Genomic DNA, 16,947 nt, shown 5'->3' with positions numbered 1-16,947 from the left:
TACAGGCACGCACCACTACAGTGGTTTTTTGTAGTTTTAGTGGAGACGGGATTTTGCCACGTTGGCTAGGCTGGTCGTGAACTCCTGGCCTCAAGTGAACGATCCCCCTCGGCTTCCCTAAGTGCTGGGATTACAGGTGTGCCACCGTGCCGGCCAGATTTGTGTATCTTTTTAGTGTTTCGCATTGATGGAATCTTCCATTCAGTGGAAATTTGTTGAGTGCCTGTTATGTGCCTAGCAAGTGAAACTGAAGGCAGAAGTTGTATTCTAGGGGAGCTGAGATTCTAGGGATTCTTATCATAATAGTCTGACTTGGTTATTAGAATCACCTCCAGTAGATTACTTTGGGGTAAGAGAAAGAGGGATAAGTACTTGGCTGTATGTTTACCAAAAACGGAATTTAAATCATTAACAGTCCCTAATTCATGAATAGAGCAATAAAGAAATCAAAAAGATAATGGCAGGCTCTCTCAGATATTTTTGAAATGTATTCTGAGGAAACACCTATATTCACTCTGATAAAAGCTAGATAAAAGGCCTAAATTTTCTGCAGTAGTCAATTTAAGAACAAATAACTTTTCTAGATAGTGGCATTTTTCCTTTGTGACATAGTAATGCAGATTCACTTTGTAGCTAACTTTTGCAAAGAGTTCCTGCAGAGCAGCTTTTTTTCTACTTTGTATTCCTCCATGTTTTTTTCTGCTGCCACTGCCCACAGAGTTCAACTTTCTGTTTATGGGGCCGATGTAGGACTCAATGTAATAAAGCAACAGCAGTGTCTTGAGAAAGAAGTTTCATTAGCAAATAAAACATTTGCTAATAAAAAATTTGCTTCTAATTTTTAAAGCTGAAGAAACGTGCCACACTGGAAGGATAATCCACGTCACCTTGTTAAAGGTGATCTTGGCTAGGCGCGGTGGCTCACGTCTAATCCTAGCACTTTGGGAGGCCAAGGCGGGTGGATCACTTCAGGTCAGGAGTTTGAAACGAGCTTGGCCATCGTGGTGAAACCCCGTCTCTACTAAAAATACAAAAAAAAAAAAATTAGCTGGGCATTGTGGTGCATGCGTGTAATCCCAGCTAATCGGGAGGCTGAGGCAGGAGAATCGCTTGAACCCGGGAGGCATAGGTTGCAGTGAGCTGATATCGTGCCACTGCACTCTAGCCTGGGTGACAGAGCAAGACTCCATCTCAAAAAAAAAAAAAAAAAAAAAAGGTGATCTCTTAGACTTAGATTTAATATACTGCAATATGTTGTCCCAGAAGCGAAAGACATTTACAATTGGCTGGAAGTAGAATTTGAGCCACTAAAACTCTGTGAGCAAGTCATTCGGTGATCACTGATGGGTAGCATTGGACCAACAACTAGGGCATCTAGATTAGAGTCCTCATTGTGCCCACAGAGTGTAGACTTCTAGAAGGATACCAGTTAGTGTCAAGTGAATGGATTAGCTGACTGCCAAGAGGCATTTGTCAACTTCTTGAGTTGACCATATATCCAAGGTCAATACCTGAGCGTTAGGCTTCCATAACCAAATTTATGAGACAGAGTGATTCCATTATCTCAGGAAAAGACTCAAACATTCCTAAGAGTGACTTTTAAATCGGAAAGTAAACCAATCATGTATTTTAGTGAGAAATATAATTTAGTAGATTATGGCAGCCTTTCACATTTCCCTATTCGGAAGGGGACTGCATGAAGAATCTAAAATAACTTGATAGGAATGAAATTAGAGCTGGGAATTTTTTTTTTTCTCTTAAAGGCAGATTCTAAGTTAGGGAATTTTATTTGTATGCATATACCACACCTTATTGCAGTAAAGATATATGGATGCTTATAAGGAGGAAGTGTTAGAATGTTGTAGGATTTCAGCCTTGTACCCATTTTACATTAGAGTTAACCTTAGACCTGAGTGCTCCCATGTGTGGGTGCCCTCCTTGCTTGGGGATGCGATCTGCCAATATTTGCCTCAGTTTTGTCACCCACTCTCTATGGGTACACACTTCTGTGCTTTGCTCTATCCCAGCAGTTATTTTGTCCTTGGGTTAACAGTTCCTAAAAAAAATGACATATTCCATGGTAAAATTGAAGTCCATATAAATGGGGTAATATGTGAAATTCTTTTCTCACCGCTATGTTTGTGAGATTTATTCATGTGTTCTATGTAGCTGTTCTTTTTTGAGCATTTTTGTTTATTTTATGAATACACCATATGTGAATTCTCCCCAGTTTGGGGCTATTAGAAATAGTGCTGCCATGATAATTTTTGTGTGATAATTTATATAAAAGTAAAACTGGTATTTTCCTTGTTATTGGTAATAAAATATTCTATTGGCCACAGTAGTTGTCTTTGTGAATATTTAATTGGTTGTAGTTGTGTTTTTTAGAGTTTCATTTCCTTTTTACATACTTGTGGGGCTTTTCACGGTAGGTTAATGTGCATAGTGTGGGGCAAAAGACCCAGCATAGTTGTACTTTGGATTCATTTTTGGTAAATTTAGAGGAGGTTGAGGCTTGATGATTTTTTAAATCATTTTCCAGATTTCCAATGCTATCATTTATACTAAGTTCAGAATTTTAGTTGGAAAATTTCCTTTGGCAGTTACATCTTTTGTTTTGCTTACTGTAGGTCAGATTTAATGTACTACAATATGTTGTCCCAGAAGTGAAAGACCTTTACAATTGGCTTGAAGTAGAATTTAACCCATTAAAACTCTGTGAGCGAGTCACAAAGGTAAGCCTTTGTATTTAAGTTCTGGTTGTTACCACAGAGTTGGCCTTCTTGCAGTTTTGGGTTGTATTCATATTTGTTAAGAGAGAAGTTTTGTCCTATGTGTTGGAATTCAGTGCACATTTCATTGTCTTTTTTCTTTATTTCAAGAGAAAAGATATATCTGATGTGCTCAGCAAACCTTTGGAGGTTAATTAGCAGCATGACTAATTTAGCCATTGCTGCCAGTCACCTTCAAACAAGTATCAGTAGCTTCATGATACATTTTGTATTTCTTTGCATTGGATGATGTTTTTGTATATTAAAAAAAAAAGAGTTTTAGATGTTTTAGTATCTCTTATGTAGAAAGTGTGATTCTCTTTCAATTTAATGGATTTTATAGGTTCTAAATTGGGTTAGGGAACAACCTGAAAAGGAACCGGAATTGCAGCAGTATGTGCCACAACTGCAAAACAACACCATCCTCCGCCTTCTGCAGCAGGTAAAAATAAAAAAATAAAAAAAGTTTTGTGATGTTATGTGCTCATCATGAAACTAAAAACTGGAAAAATCTAGAACTGCCTAGGAAGTGAGAACCTCCCCAAGTTCTGCCCCTGGCAAAAATTAGTCTATTTATTAATTTGAAAATCAGAATTATTATATTTACATATTTTGTAACGGACGCTTTTGTTTTTTGGCTGAACACTGTCTTTGGGCATTTTTCCTTGTTAGTAATGTAGGGCTACCTTATTCCATTTAAGGTACTGTGGTGTATTTATTCAGACTCTCTTGATGAAAACCTGTATTCCTAGATTTTTTTTTTCCCTGTTAGAAATCTTGTAGCATTGAGCATCTTTCATACATGTATCTTTGCATACTTCTATTACTTTCTGTGGCATAAGAAGTGGAATTAGTCATAGGGTTTATGGATTTAAAGCTTTAATAGCTATTCAGAAGCCTGGATTAATAGACCCCCCACCATGAGTGAATGAGACAGCCTTTTCATATATTTTAGTCCAGGGGCTTAAGTCAGTAAGTGCTCCCATTTTGTTTTCCATTTGTTGCATTTGGGAAGGAGGGCGTTTTATTATATTTTCATCTCAGTATTTGTGCACATTTCATTGACCTGCTTTCTTTTATGTGAGTAGTGTTATTTCTTATGTGCTATACAAATAATTGAAGGCTAATTAGCAGTATAACTATAAATAGTAATGCTGCCAGTCTCCTTCAGACAAAAATTCTATAAGAAGTGTTTAAATATATTCGGTAAGTAGCAGGTTTTTAGGCTTTTTTGTTTTACAACAACTAGGATTTGAAAAGATTATAGGTTTGAGGAATAGTATGATAATGGTTCTCAAAGCATGGAGTTTAGAGTCGATGGTCTGGGATTAGCATTCTGGCTTTAACAATGTACTGCTAACATAAATTCTCTGGCATAATTTCTACTTCCCATGACTGTCATGAGATTGCACATAAAAAGTGCTGAATAAACAGTGGCTAGTGTTATTAACCCTTTGTTTTCTATGCAGGTGTCACAGATTTATCAGAGCATTGAGTTTTCTCGTTTGACTTCTTTGGTTCCTTTTGTTGATGCTTTCCAACTGGAACGGGCCATAGTAGATGCAGCCAGGCATTGCGACTTGCAGGTAGGTATGTGCTGTAAGGAGACAGGAGAAGGCCCTTGAGGGCTAGAAAGACACATACCTTCTGTTTCTCAGCTTTTGGTACAGTGATACCATTTTAAAGTTTACTGAGTGAACTTTTCCAGCTTTTGTATATGACATTCTTCTGTTACTTTTTGACTTCATGCTTACTTGTGGATTTAACCATTGATAATTTAATTTTCAAAGGTTCGTATTGATCACACTTCTCGGACCCTGAGTTTTGGATCTGATTTGAATTATGCTACTCGAGAAGATGCTCCGATTGGTCCTCATTTGCAAAGCATGCCTTCAGAGCAGATAAGAAACCAGCTGACAGCCATGTCCTCAGTACTTGCAAAAGCACTTGAAGTCATTAAACCAGCTCATATACTGGTATGCATCTTCCCGGGGAAATAAATCCCAGAAGTTTTGAGGGACTCTTAACGCCATGCCATGTCTTTTACAAAAAGGTTTGAGACAATATCTGAGAGAAGGGATTTATGATATGTTTCCTATAGAATTGTACTTGGTAGTTTTGTTATTTGATCAAATACACAAATCATTGAGCTTTCTTCCATTGAACAAAATACTACTCTGTGTAGGTAATGTAATAGGGTGGATTATGTTACAGAAACAACAGAGTGGACATAGGATTCCTCAAATAGTGAAATACAGTGACTGGATTTTTCCCTCCTGCTTAAGTTATTTCTTTTTTTTCTTTTTTGAGATGGAGTCTCACTCTCACCCAGGCTGGAGTGCAGTGATGCCATCTCGGCTCATTGCAATCTCTACCTCCTGGGTTCAAGCAATTCTTGTGCCTCAGCCTCCTGTGTAGCTGGGACTACAGGCACGTACCACGTGCACAGCTAATGTTTTGTATTTTTAGTAGAGATGGGGTTTCACCATGTTGGCCATGCTGGTCTCAAAGTCCTGGCCTCAAGTGATCCACCCGCCTTGGCCTCCCAAAAGTGATGGGGTTACACGCATGAGCCACTGCCTGTAACAAGTTATTTCTTGTATGTGAGCTCTGTTAATGAACACCTAAGGTAGGTTTGGTGCAGAGAAAAGTTGTCTTATCTAGGAGAGCTTCTTTAGCTGCGTCATTGCTATTAAAAGACTGAATAGGAGCAACACCATAGCATTTAATACCGAAAACAAACAGCTTGGATAGTGTCATCTTCCATTATCAAATGCAGATACATAGAAAGGCAGTACATCAGGATTATTTTGTAATTTCTTTGATGCCTAATACCAGAGAATGTTAATTTTGGTCATGTAAAAAAATTCATTTGTTTTTGAAGCAAGAGAAAGAAGAACAGCATCAGTTGGCTGTCACTGCATACCTTAAAAATTCACGAAAAGAGCACCAGCGGATCCTGGCTCGCCGCCAGACAATTGAGGAGAGAAAAGAGCGCCTTGAGAGTCTGAATATTCAGCGTGAGAAAGAAGAATTGGAACAGAGGGAAGCTGAACTCCAGAAAGTGCGGAAGGCTGAGGAAGAGAGGCTGCGCCAGGAAGCAAAGGAGAGAGAGAAGGAGCGTATCTTACAGGAACATGAACAAATCAAAAAGAAAACTGTCCGAGAGCGTTTGGAGCAGATCAAGAAAACAGAACTGGGTGCCAAAGCATTCAAAGATATTGATATTGAAGTACGTAGCATCTTAGTTATTAAAAAATTAGTTTTATCCAGGTATTTTGTACTCTTAGAACCACAGTCCTTTACCATTTGTTGGCTTACTGGGTTATTTCATGCATTTTGGTACAGCTGGTCATGACTAAATCTGTGAGTAAGCATATGTTTATTGCTCTGTGAAGTTTTGTGTTTTTTTTGAGACGGAGTATTATCTTGTCGCCCAGGCTGGAGTGCAGTGACGTGATCTCAGCTCACTGCAACCTCCGCCTCCCGGGTTCAAGTGATTCTCCTGCCTCAGCCTCCCAACTAGCTGGGATTACAGGCGCCTGCCACCATACCTGGCTAATTTTTGTATTTTTAGTAGAGACAGGGTTTCACCATGTTGGCCAGGCTGGTCTTGAACTCCTGACCTCAAGTGATCTACTTGCCTCAGCCTCCCAAATTGCTGGGGTTATAGGTGTGAGCCACCACACATGACCTGTTTCATAGACACCTTATACACATAGCCTGAAGGTAATTTTGTACACTATTTTACATAATTTTGTGCATGAAACAAAGTTTTGAATGCATTTTGACTGACCTGTCACATGGGTCAGGTGTGGAATTTTACACTTGTGGCACCATGTTGGTGCTCAGAAAGTTTTAAAATTGGGAGCATTTCAGATTTTGGGTTTTTGGATTAGGTTTGCTTACCCTATTTAGTAGAGTCTGGGTAGATGTAGGTTGGAGTAGTGAGAAAAGGATGTATGGATATTTTTTTCCTTATGGTCAAATGGAAATAAGGCTATTGTATAATATTTTTACATTTCCTAAATTATCACCCATTGTAACAATAAAAGCAATGTAGGATTTTATTCTAGAAAGCAGTGAGTTATGTTAGGCATTGCTTGTTTCTCTTTATTAACAATTGTGCATTTGTATTACCTTTCAGGACCTTGAGGAATTGGATCCAGATTTTATCATGGCTAAACAGGTTGAACAACTGGAGAAAGAAAAGAAAGAACTTCAAGAACGCCTAAAGAATCAAGAAAAGAAGGTAAATGAAAGGGTTGGTAAACCTTTAACATACCAAGTTAAGAGAGATTTTTTAAAACTACGTGTGTTTTCGTGTCATTCAGATTGACTATTTTGAAAGAGCCAAACGTTTGGAAGAAATTCCTTTGATAAAGAGCGCTTACGAGGAACAGAGAATTAAAGACATGGATCTGTGGGAGCAACAAGAGGAAGAAAGAGTAAGTTTTTTATTTAATTGTAATATTTTTAGATTGTAATAAAATCCTCTGCCAGTAATGGAACCAAGGATTCAGAATTGCTTTATTTTGTATTCTTCTGCTAGAAATGGTGCTCTAATGGCTGCCTATGAACAGATTGGTAGAAAGAGGGAAAATTTCACAATAGAGATTACAAACGAAACTTGGAAAACAAAGGACAACTGAAAAGCCCATTTTATAAAAAACTGCTTTATATACACTTTAAATGGGTAAATTGTATGGCATGTTTATACATCTCATAGTTTTCATTTTACTTGCAGAATTGTGCAGCCATCTCCACAATCTAATTTTAAAACACGTCTCAAAAAGAAGTTCTAAACCCATTAGCAGTAGTCATCCCTATTCTTCCCCACCACCCCAGCCCTAGGCAACCGCTAAACTACTCCTTTCTCTAGATTTGCTGATTCTGGACATTTTATATAAATGGAATTGTGTACTGTGTTGTCTTTCGTGACTAAACAGGTCATTCCATAGTTTTGTTAACTTATAGTATATTTTATATTTACCTAATGATACAAAAGCATGGTTTACAAATGCTTACGGCACCAAATATGTAATAAAAGTGAGTAAGCAGATCTACTTTAAAAAAGTAACCATAAGCAGGAGGCAAACATCGGTGTAGGGTGTGATAGGAGAATGCAGCCTTTTCTTGGTTTAATCTGATTGTTGTCCCTTGGAGATTAATGGGCCTAGGATTGCCAGCCCTTCCCATTTTTTTTTCTGGAAAAGTTGGAATTTTTGTGATAATTCTCTTAACATGTAAATAATTAAAAACTAATTAGAAAAGTGCTGCAGACCAAATTGGGTTGATTTGGAGCCTTCAGTTTTTCATGTAGGGTAGAAAAGAAATAGCCATATATCATCTTGCATTGATTTCCAGGTGTTTTTAAGGATGAAAATGCCTTTAAAAATTAAACCATGGTGTTTGTTGTTACCATGTCATATTTATTATTTTATTTTATTATATATAGGCACACCTTGTTTTATTGTGCTTCACTTTATTGTGCTTTTGTGTTACCCAGGCAGGTCTCAAAGTCCTGGGCTCAAACGATTCTCCTGGCTGGGCCTCCCAAAGTGCTGGGATTATGGGTGTGAATCACACCTCCCCCAGCCCCCCATATTATTATTATTTTTATTCTTATTTCTTCTTTTACATATTAAAAGTTTGTGGTAACCTTGCATTGAGCAAGTCTGTTGACACCATTTTTCCAGCAGCATGTGCTCATTTCATGTCTCTGTCACATTTTGGTAATTCTCAAAGTATTTAATACTTTTTCATTATATTTGTTGTAGTGATCAGTGATCTTTGATGTTACTGTTGTAATTATTTTGGGGTGCCACGAACCACACTCATAGAAGGCGGTGAACTTAATCTGTAAATTAAGTCTCTTCTGACTGTTCTACCGACTGGCCATTCCCTTACTCTCTGTCTCTCCCTGTCCTTGACCCTTCCTATTATTCCCTGAGACACTAATATGTATATATTTATTTGAGACAGAGTTTCATTCTGTCGCCCAGGCTGGAGTGCAGTGGCGCAATCTCGGCACACTGCAACCTCTGCCCCCGCCGGGTTCAAGTGATTCTCTGGCCGCAGCCTCCCAAGTAGCTGGGATTACAGGCGCCTGCCACCATGCCCGGCTAGTTTTTGTGTTTTTAGTGGAGATGAGGTCACCGTGTTGGCTGGGCTGGTCTTGAACTCCTGACCTCAAGTGTTCTGTTCGCCTCAGCCTCCCAAAGTGCTGGGATTATAGGCGTGAGCCACTGTGCCCAGCTCCTGAGAGGTAATATTGAAATTAGGCTAATTAACAATTCCACAATGGCTTTTAAGTGTTCAACTGAATAGAAGAGTCACCTGTCTCACTTTAAATCAAATGCTAGAAATGATTAAGCTTAGTGAGGAAGGCATGTTGAAAGCTAGGCCTCTTGCACTAATCAAGTTGTGAATGCAAAGGAAAAGCTTTTTTTTTTTTTTTGAGATGGAGTTTCGCCGTTGTTGCCCAAGCTGGAGTGCAATGGCGCAATCTCAGCCCACTGCAGCCTCCGCCTCCCAGTTCAAGTGATTCTCGTGCCTCAGCCTCCCGAGTAGCTGAGATTACAGGCATGTGCCACCACACCCAGCTAATTTTGTACTTTTTTTTTTTTTTTTTAATTAGAGACGGGGTTTCTCTATGTTGGTCAGGCTGGTCTCAAACTCCTGGCCTCAGGTGATCTGCTCATCTCGGCCTCCCAAAGTGCTGGGATTACAGGCATGAGCCACCGTGCCTGGCCCGGAAGAGTTCTTGAAATTAAAAATGCTACTCCAGTGAACACATAAACAGTGAGAAAGTGAAACAGCCTTATTGCTGATATGGAAAAAGTTTCATTGGTCTGGATCAAACCAGCCACAACATTCCCTTTAGCCAAAGCCTGATCGAGAGCAAGGCTATAACTCTCAACAGTTAATAATACAAATAGCTGAGAGAGGTTAGAAAGCCGCAGAAGGCCAGGCCTGGTGGCTCACGTCTGTAATATAAGCACTTTGGGAGGCCGAGGAGGGCAGATCACTTGAGGTCAGGAGTTTGAGACCAGCCTGGCCAACATGGCAAGAACCCGTCTCTACTAAAATTACAAAAATTAGCTGGGCGTGGTGGCAGATGCCTGTAATCCCAGATACTCAGGAGGCTGAGGCAGGAGAATTGCATGAACCTGGGAGGCAGAGGTTGCAGTGAGCTGAGATTGCGCCACTGCACTCCACCCTGGGCAACCATGGGAGACTCTGTCTCAATCAATCAATCAATCAATAAAGGAAGCTGCAGAAGAAAAGTATGAAGCTAGCAGAGGTTGGTTCATAAGGTTTAAGGAAAACCGTCTTTATGACATAACAGTACGATGTGAAGCAGCAAGTGCTGATGGAGGAGCTACAGCAAGTTATTCAGAAGATTTGGCTGAGATAGTTGATGAAGGTGGCTACACTTAAACAACAGACTTTCTTACTTTTTTGAGAGACAGGGTCTCACTCTATCACCCAGGCTGGAGTGCAGTGGCGTGATCTCAGCTCCCTACAGTATCTACCCCCTGGGCTCAAGTGCCCACTTCAGCCTCCTGAGTAGCTGCGACCACAGGCATGCACCACCATGCCTAGCTTTTTTTTTTTTTTTTTTTTTGTATTTTTAGTGGAGACAGGCTCTCCCCAGGCTTCCCAGGCTGGTCTCAAACTCCTGAAGTCAAGCAGTCTGCCTGCTTCAGCCTCACAAAGTGTTGGGATTACAGGGGTGAGCCATGGTGCCCAGCCAATAGATTTTCAGTGTAGATGAAACGACCTTCTGTTGGAAGAAGATGGCCAGCTAGGTCTTTCATACCTAGAGGGAAGTCAGTGCCTAGCTTGAGAGCATCAAAGGGTATGCTCACTGTTTAGGGGTTAATGCAGCTGCTAACTGGAAGTTGAAGCCAATTCTCGTCATTCCAAAAATCCTAGGGTCCTTAAGAATTATGCTGCATCTACCCTTTCTGTGGTCTGTACATGAAAGAACAAAGCCTGAATGACAGCATATCTGTTAATAGCATGGTTTGCTGAATATTTTAAGCCCCCTGTTGAGACCTACTGCTCAAAAAAAAAAGTTTTCAGAATATTGCTGCTCATTGACAATGCATCTGATCGTATGACAGCTCTGACAGTGATGTATAAGAGAGATTAATGTTTGTTTTCATGCCTGTTAACACAGTATGCATTCTGCAGCCCGTAGATCTAGGAATAATTTTGTCTTTCAAGTCTTATTATTTAAGAAATATATTTCATAAACCTGTAGCTGCCATAGTGATTCCTTTGGTGGATCTGGGCAAAGTACGTTGAAAACCTGCTGGAAGGAATTCTTTATTCCAGATGCCATTTGTGATTCGTGGGAGGAGGTCAAAATATCAGCATTAGAAAGAGTTTGGAAGAAGTTGATTCCAAGCCTCATGGATGACTTGGAGGGGTACATGAGTAGAGTGGAGAAAATAATTGCAGATGTGGTGAAAACAGCAAGAGAAGTAGAGTTAGATGTATAGGCTGGGTGGGGTGGCTCACACCTCTAATCCCAGCTCTTTGGGAGGCTGAGGTGGGCAGATTGCATGAGTCCAGGAGTTTGAGACCAGCCTGGGCAACATGGTGAAACCCTGTCTCTACAAAAAAACAGGAAAATTAGCCAGGCATGGTGGAGTGTGCCTGCAGTTCCAGCTACTTGGGAGGCTGACTGAGGTGGGAGGATGCAGAGGTTGCAGTGAGCTGAGATGGTGCCATTGCACTCCAGTGCTTGGGTGACAGAGACAGACCCTGTCTTAAAACACACACACACACACACACACACACACACAAAACCAAAAAAGACTATAACCTGAAGATGTGACTGAATTGCTGCAATCTCATGATAAAGCTTGGATGGGTGAGGAGTTGCTTCTTATGGATGAGCAAAGTAAGTGGTTTCTTGAAATCTCCTGGTGAAAATGCTACGAACATTGTTGACCTGACAACAAAGGATTTAGAATATTCCATAAGTGTAGTTGATAAAGCAGCAGCAGGGTTTGAGAGGATTGGATCAAATTGAAATTCTACTCTTGAGTTAAAAACCGTCAACCAGTGCCACATGCTAGATGAATCTTTTGTAAGAGGTTGCAATCAGTGTGGCAAACTTCATTGTTACCTATTTTAAGAAATTATACCATAGTCACCCCATCCTTTAGTATCTGCCATGCTGATCATTCAGCAGTCGTCAACATTGAAGCAAGACTCCACTAGCAAAAAGATTATGACTCATTGAAGGCTCAGGTGATCATTAGCATTTTTTAGCAATAAAGTATTTTTTGTTTTGTTTTCTTTGAGAACAGGAGTCTCACCATGTTGTCCAGGCTGATCTTGCACTCCTGGGCTCAAGTGATTCTCTTGCCTCAGCGTACTACTGCATCTGACTTACAGTATTTTAAAATTAAGGTTTGTACATTGGTGTTTTAGACATGCTATTGTATACTTAATAGACTGCAAACTTCTATATGCATCGGATAACCAAAAAATCTGCGTTGCTTGCTTTATTGCAATATTCTTTATTGTGGTGGTCTAGAACCAAACCTGCAGTGCCTCCAAGGTGTGTCCGTGTATCATAATTTTTCCTTTATAAAGTTCCTGGTATCATGGGGCTAAATGAAAACTGTCTCTCCTAAATGCCTCAGGATTACTTTGTCTACCTCTTGCCCGTAATTGCCTTCTGGGGACCTATTGACATGGATGTAGTTAACGTTTTCATTTTTATGGCATGACAGAAGGGGCAGTGGAGCAGCTTCTAATTTTTCAAGAGTATTTCTCAGTAATTTGGGGTTAATGAGTAAAAAAAAAAGTGCATTGAAATTTCACAATATTTGTACTTGCAGATTACTACAATGCAGCTAGAACGTGAAAAGGCTCTTGAACATAAGAATCGAATGTCACGAATGCTTGAAGACAGAGATTTATTCGTAATGCGACTCAAAGCTGCACGGCAGTCTGTTTATGAGGTGAGCTTGCTGATTTTTGGGAAATGTTTATTCATGAGCTTTCTAGTATTGGCCTAAGGGTTCTCCCTTAACAAATTGGTATATTCTTTATTGAGTTACTATGTGTAACGGTCATTCAAATAATAGAAATTTTTGGATGATATTTCATAAGCAAAACAATCATCAAAATTGTTCTAAAGGTGAAAGTTGAATGCATAATTTAATACAAGTTTTGTTTACTGTTTTTGTTAGAAATGAAAAAACTAGATCAAAATGTCCTGGGCTTAGATTCTAATTTGACCATTGAATTATTTTGTATAAAGACAAACCCACTGGAGGTAGGTAATATCAACAATTTAAATGTTTTAAAATTTGGCCTGCTGACAAGTTAATGGTCATTTGGAAGTTAGAGTTTTTGTGCTGAGAGGTTGCTTTCGATGATTCTGATACACTTGAGAGTCTTTTGTAAACCTAATAGCTTTCTGCGAGTTTGTTGCTCTTGACAAAGTGTGCCCTTTTTGGGTTGGGGGTTACTTCGATTGCAGGAAAAACTTAAACAGTTTGAAGAGCGATTAGCAGAAGAAAGGCATAATCGATTGGAAGAACGGAAAAGGCAGCGTAAAGAAGAACGCAGGATAACATACTATAGAGAAAAAGAAGAGGAGGAGCAGAGAAGGGCAGAAGAACAAATGCTAAAAGGTACACAGGTCAAACAGGATTGGAGGGGTGCTAATGCAAGGTTGGTGTTAAGATCTAGTTTTTAGTGATCTTATGTAGAAAATACAGGAATCAAGGTAATTGGCCTTTTAGCACTGTAATTAACTGGATCTCAGAACCCAGTTTGCTGTATGTGAAGTTGTTACATCGTCTGCCAGCATTTCCCCACACATTTGATGTTCTTCTAGAAATTAATACTTTTTTTAATCACCGTATTCTGTGTATTAACATTTATTGAGGAATACATTCCAGATGATGGCTGTTAAATGATGCTATATCTGGAATCCCAGATTGCTCAGGGATGGGGGAGGGATTCTAGTATCTTATTACAAAACTATAGTTGAGGGGTGTAGTACTTATTTTCTTGACTATGTTCTGTCCTGTAGCTGATTACAAACTATTTTCAAATTCTTTTACTTGTACATTATGCTACCTGTTTAATACCAGAAAAGTGGAACTAGCACTAGGGGGAAGATATGGCTGGGAGGCACACTTAGTAACCTAATCAATGGTCTAGAGCGGGAAGAGAGAGAGCGCGCCGAACGAGCAAAACGCGAGGAAGAGCTACGAGAGTATCAGGAGCGGGTGAAGAAATTAGAAGAAGTGGAAAGGAAAAAACGCCAAAGGGAGTTGGAAATTGAAGAACGAGAACGGCGTAGAGAGGAAGAGAGAAGACTTGGCGATAGTTCCCTTTCTAGAAAGGTGAGTATAGGGTTTATTGATTTTATTTTGTTTTAATGTGACTTTTTTTTTTTGGTTGAGGCACAGTCTTGCTCTGTCGCCCAGGTTGCCCAGGCTGGAGTACAGTGGTGCAATCTCAGCCCCCGGGTTCAAGTGATTCTCGTGTCTCAGCCTCCTGAGTAGCTGAGATTACAGGTGCATACCACCATGCCTGGCTGATTTTTGTAATTGTGATGTATTTTTATCACCCAGTTCTCTTCCATGATACCTATGTAAATGTATTTAAATCAGTTATTTTCACATCTCTTTCTCTTTTTTTTTTTTTTTTGAGACAGAGTCTCGCTTCATTGCCCAGGCTGGAGTGCAGTGGTGTGATCTCTGTCTCGGCTTCCTGCAATCTCTGCCTCCCAGGTTCAAGCCATTCTCTTGCTTCAGTCTTCCAAGTAGTTGGAATTATAGGCGCCCAACACCATGCCTGGCTGATTTTTGTATTTTTAGTAGAAAATACAAAATTTACTACTAAAATTAGAAATATGGTTTCACCATGTTGGCCAGGTTGGTCTTGAACTCCTGACCTCAAACAATCTGCTTGCCTTGGCCTCCCAAAGTGCTGGGATTACAGGCGCGAGCCACCGCACCCAGCCCATTTTCACCGCTCTTTTTAATGTGGTAGTTTTCCCAAAGAACAGAAGGCACCTAAGGGGGGAAGAATTATACTTGTCTTAGCAAAGATGGAATTTTACAGGCTTAAGCATACTTTTGCGCATGCGTGTCATGAAAGTTTTGTCCATAGCACTGCTGAGTTTGCTACAGAAGAGAGACTGTTGCTGAGTTCCATGAAAGACATCATCGTTTGGCCGGGCGTGGTGGCTCATGCCTATAATTCCCAGCACTTTGGGAAGCCGAGGCGTGCGGATCGCGAAGTCAGTTCTAGACCAGTCTGGCCAACATGGTGATACCCTGTCTCTACTAAAAATAAAAAAATTAGCTGGGTGCGGTGGCAGCACCTGTAATCCCAGCTACTTGAGAGGCTGAGGGAGGAGAATTGCTTGAACCCAGGAGGTGGAGGTTGCAGTGAGCTGAGATCGCGCCACTGCACTCAAGCCTGGGTGACAGAGCAAGACTCTGTCTCAGGGGAAAAAAAAAAAAAGAATCGTGAATTTAGAGGATGATGAATTCTGTAGCTCCTTGGTACTTAAAGACATGTTTGGTGGTCAGCAGCTGTCAGCAGCACCTGTCAACTTGTTAGAAACGCAGACTTTGAGGTCCAGCCCCAAAACTTCTGAATCAAAATATGCAATTTAACAGGATTCCTAGGTGATTCAAACTCAGCTCTAAATGCTGATTTTTAATTGCACTCAGGTTCAAAACGGACCTGTGTTCCCATCTCTGTCTTGTGTCTGGAATTCCCTCTCCTGATTGGTGTTACTGGTATCTGCTTTGTCACAGCTTTGAACCAACTCTTCCTTCTTTCTTTTCCTACATTACTGCCTTAATTCAGATTTTTCTTGCTTGCAATACTTGTTGGTCTACTTACTCGTCTTCCTCATCATCATCTTCCTCCAGCTTCAGACCTTCCTCTATGTTGTGGCCTGCTTGATTTTTCATAATACAGCATGTTTGATCACTGTGCCTGCTGTTGGATTTCAGACCTTTCATTGGTTGGTACTCATTACTGAGAGCCAAAGGTTTTAAAACACGCGTTAGTAGTCTTCCGTGTTGCTGCCGTTTCATCAGTTTCATCTGACACTATTTTCTTCTTAGTCACCTGTGCTGTAGCCATTGGGGAGCAAGTTTTCTGCTTTATTCTGTGTCTGTGGCATCTGTCTGCACGCTCTTCCTTTTGCTTGGGAGGTGCCCTGTTTGCCCCTTAAAGTATTGCTTGCTTACTTTTCACTCAGAAAGCTCAAGGATATCTTGCATGCCTTTTCTCTGCTCCTCTATTTTTGCCACACCTGTATCAAATGCTTATCTGTATGCCTACACTTGATACTAGTTATTTATGTGTCTTCAGTTTGTGTTATTCTTACTGCTAATTTGTAGTTCTAATTCCTTGGTATTAAGTAAATGTGGTCTGTATGATTTACAAGTTTTTGGAATTTAAGAATACATTTTCCCTTGTGTTCTATGAATGTTTTTTTCTGTTGAGCACAAAGTTGTGTGTGTGCATGAAATCAGCGCTGTTTTGTTTAAATCTGCTACATCTTGTTAGTTTATGGGACTGTCTCCTTAGGAACATGAGGAAGCTTACCTTCTGAGATTATCCTTTTCTTTTAGTTAGCATTTGCAAATGTGTCTGTCCACCCTTTTGTACATTTTCAGCCTCTTGTTTCTGTTTTATGCCTCACCCCCTTGCCCACACACACCTTCCCTTTTTTTTGGGAGAGTTTAGTTTAATTTACTTGCATTTAACATGGTAACTAGTATATTTGGTTTTATTCCTAACACTTGCTTTGGAGCTTTTTATTTGCTTCTATGTCCCTGGCACCCCTTCCTTTTTCTTTAAGCCAAATTTGAAGAACTTTTCTAGGTTCTTTTTGTGTGTGTGTGTGTGTGGAGACAGTCTCGCTCTGTTGCCCAGGCTGGAGTGCAGTGGTGCAATCTCAGCTCACTGCAACCTCCGCCTCCCAGTTTCAAGCAATTCTCCTGCCTCAGCCTCCTGAGTAGCTGGGATTACTGGCGTGTGCCACCACGCCTGGCTAATGTTTGTATTTTTAGTAGAGATGGGATTTTTCACTATGTTGGCCTGGCTGGTCTTGAACTCCTGACCTCGTGGTCCACTCACCTCAGCCTCTCACAGTGCTGGGATT

General features: G+C 40.3%; 1 protein-coding gene and 2 non-coding genes across 3 annotated transcripts in view; all 3 read left to right on the top strand.

Moving 5' to 3' along the window:
• EIF3A (eukaryotic translation initiation factor 3 subunit A) overlaps positions 1-16,947 on the top strand; it is a 47,148-nt gene that overhangs the window by 16,859 nt on the left and 13,342 nt on the right. The window contains exons 8-17 of the mRNA NM_003750.4: positions 2,631-2,735; positions 3,115-3,213; positions 4,241-4,357; positions 4,562-4,747; positions 5,656-6,003; positions 6,919-7,023; positions 7,106-7,219; positions 12,638-12,760; positions 13,285-13,438; positions 13,974-14,158. Of these exons, the coding sequence (NP_003741.1) occupies positions 2,631-2,735; positions 3,115-3,213; positions 4,241-4,357; positions 4,562-4,747; positions 5,656-6,003; positions 6,919-7,023; positions 7,106-7,219; positions 12,638-12,760; positions 13,285-13,438; positions 13,974-14,158 (1,536 nt within the window). The remainder of the gene's footprint in view (positions 1-2,630; positions 2,736-3,114; positions 3,214-4,240; positions 4,358-4,561; positions 4,748-5,655; positions 6,004-6,918; positions 7,024-7,105; positions 7,220-12,637; positions 12,761-13,284; positions 13,439-13,973; positions 14,159-16,947) is intronic.
• On the top strand, positions 2,848-2,976 carry LOC124900296 (small nucleolar RNA SNORA19). The gene has a single exon (XR_007062404.1). It is a non-coding gene; the product is annotated as a small nucleolar RNA SNORA19 (small nucleolar RNA).
• SNORA19 (small nucleolar RNA, H/ACA box 19) lies at positions 3,821-3,948 on the top strand. The gene has a single exon (NR_002917.1). It is a non-coding gene; the product is annotated as a small nucleolar RNA, H/ACA box 19 (small nucleolar RNA).

This window comes from Homo sapiens, chromosome 10, assembly GCF_000001405.40.
Source record: "Homo sapiens chromosome 10, GRCh38.p14 Primary Assembly".
NCBI lineage: Eukaryota > Metazoa > Chordata > Mammalia > Primates > Hominidae > Homo > Homo sapiens.
The sequence above is the reverse complement of the archived record's forward strand: the minus strand, read 5'-3'. Positions and strand labels throughout refer to the sequence as shown.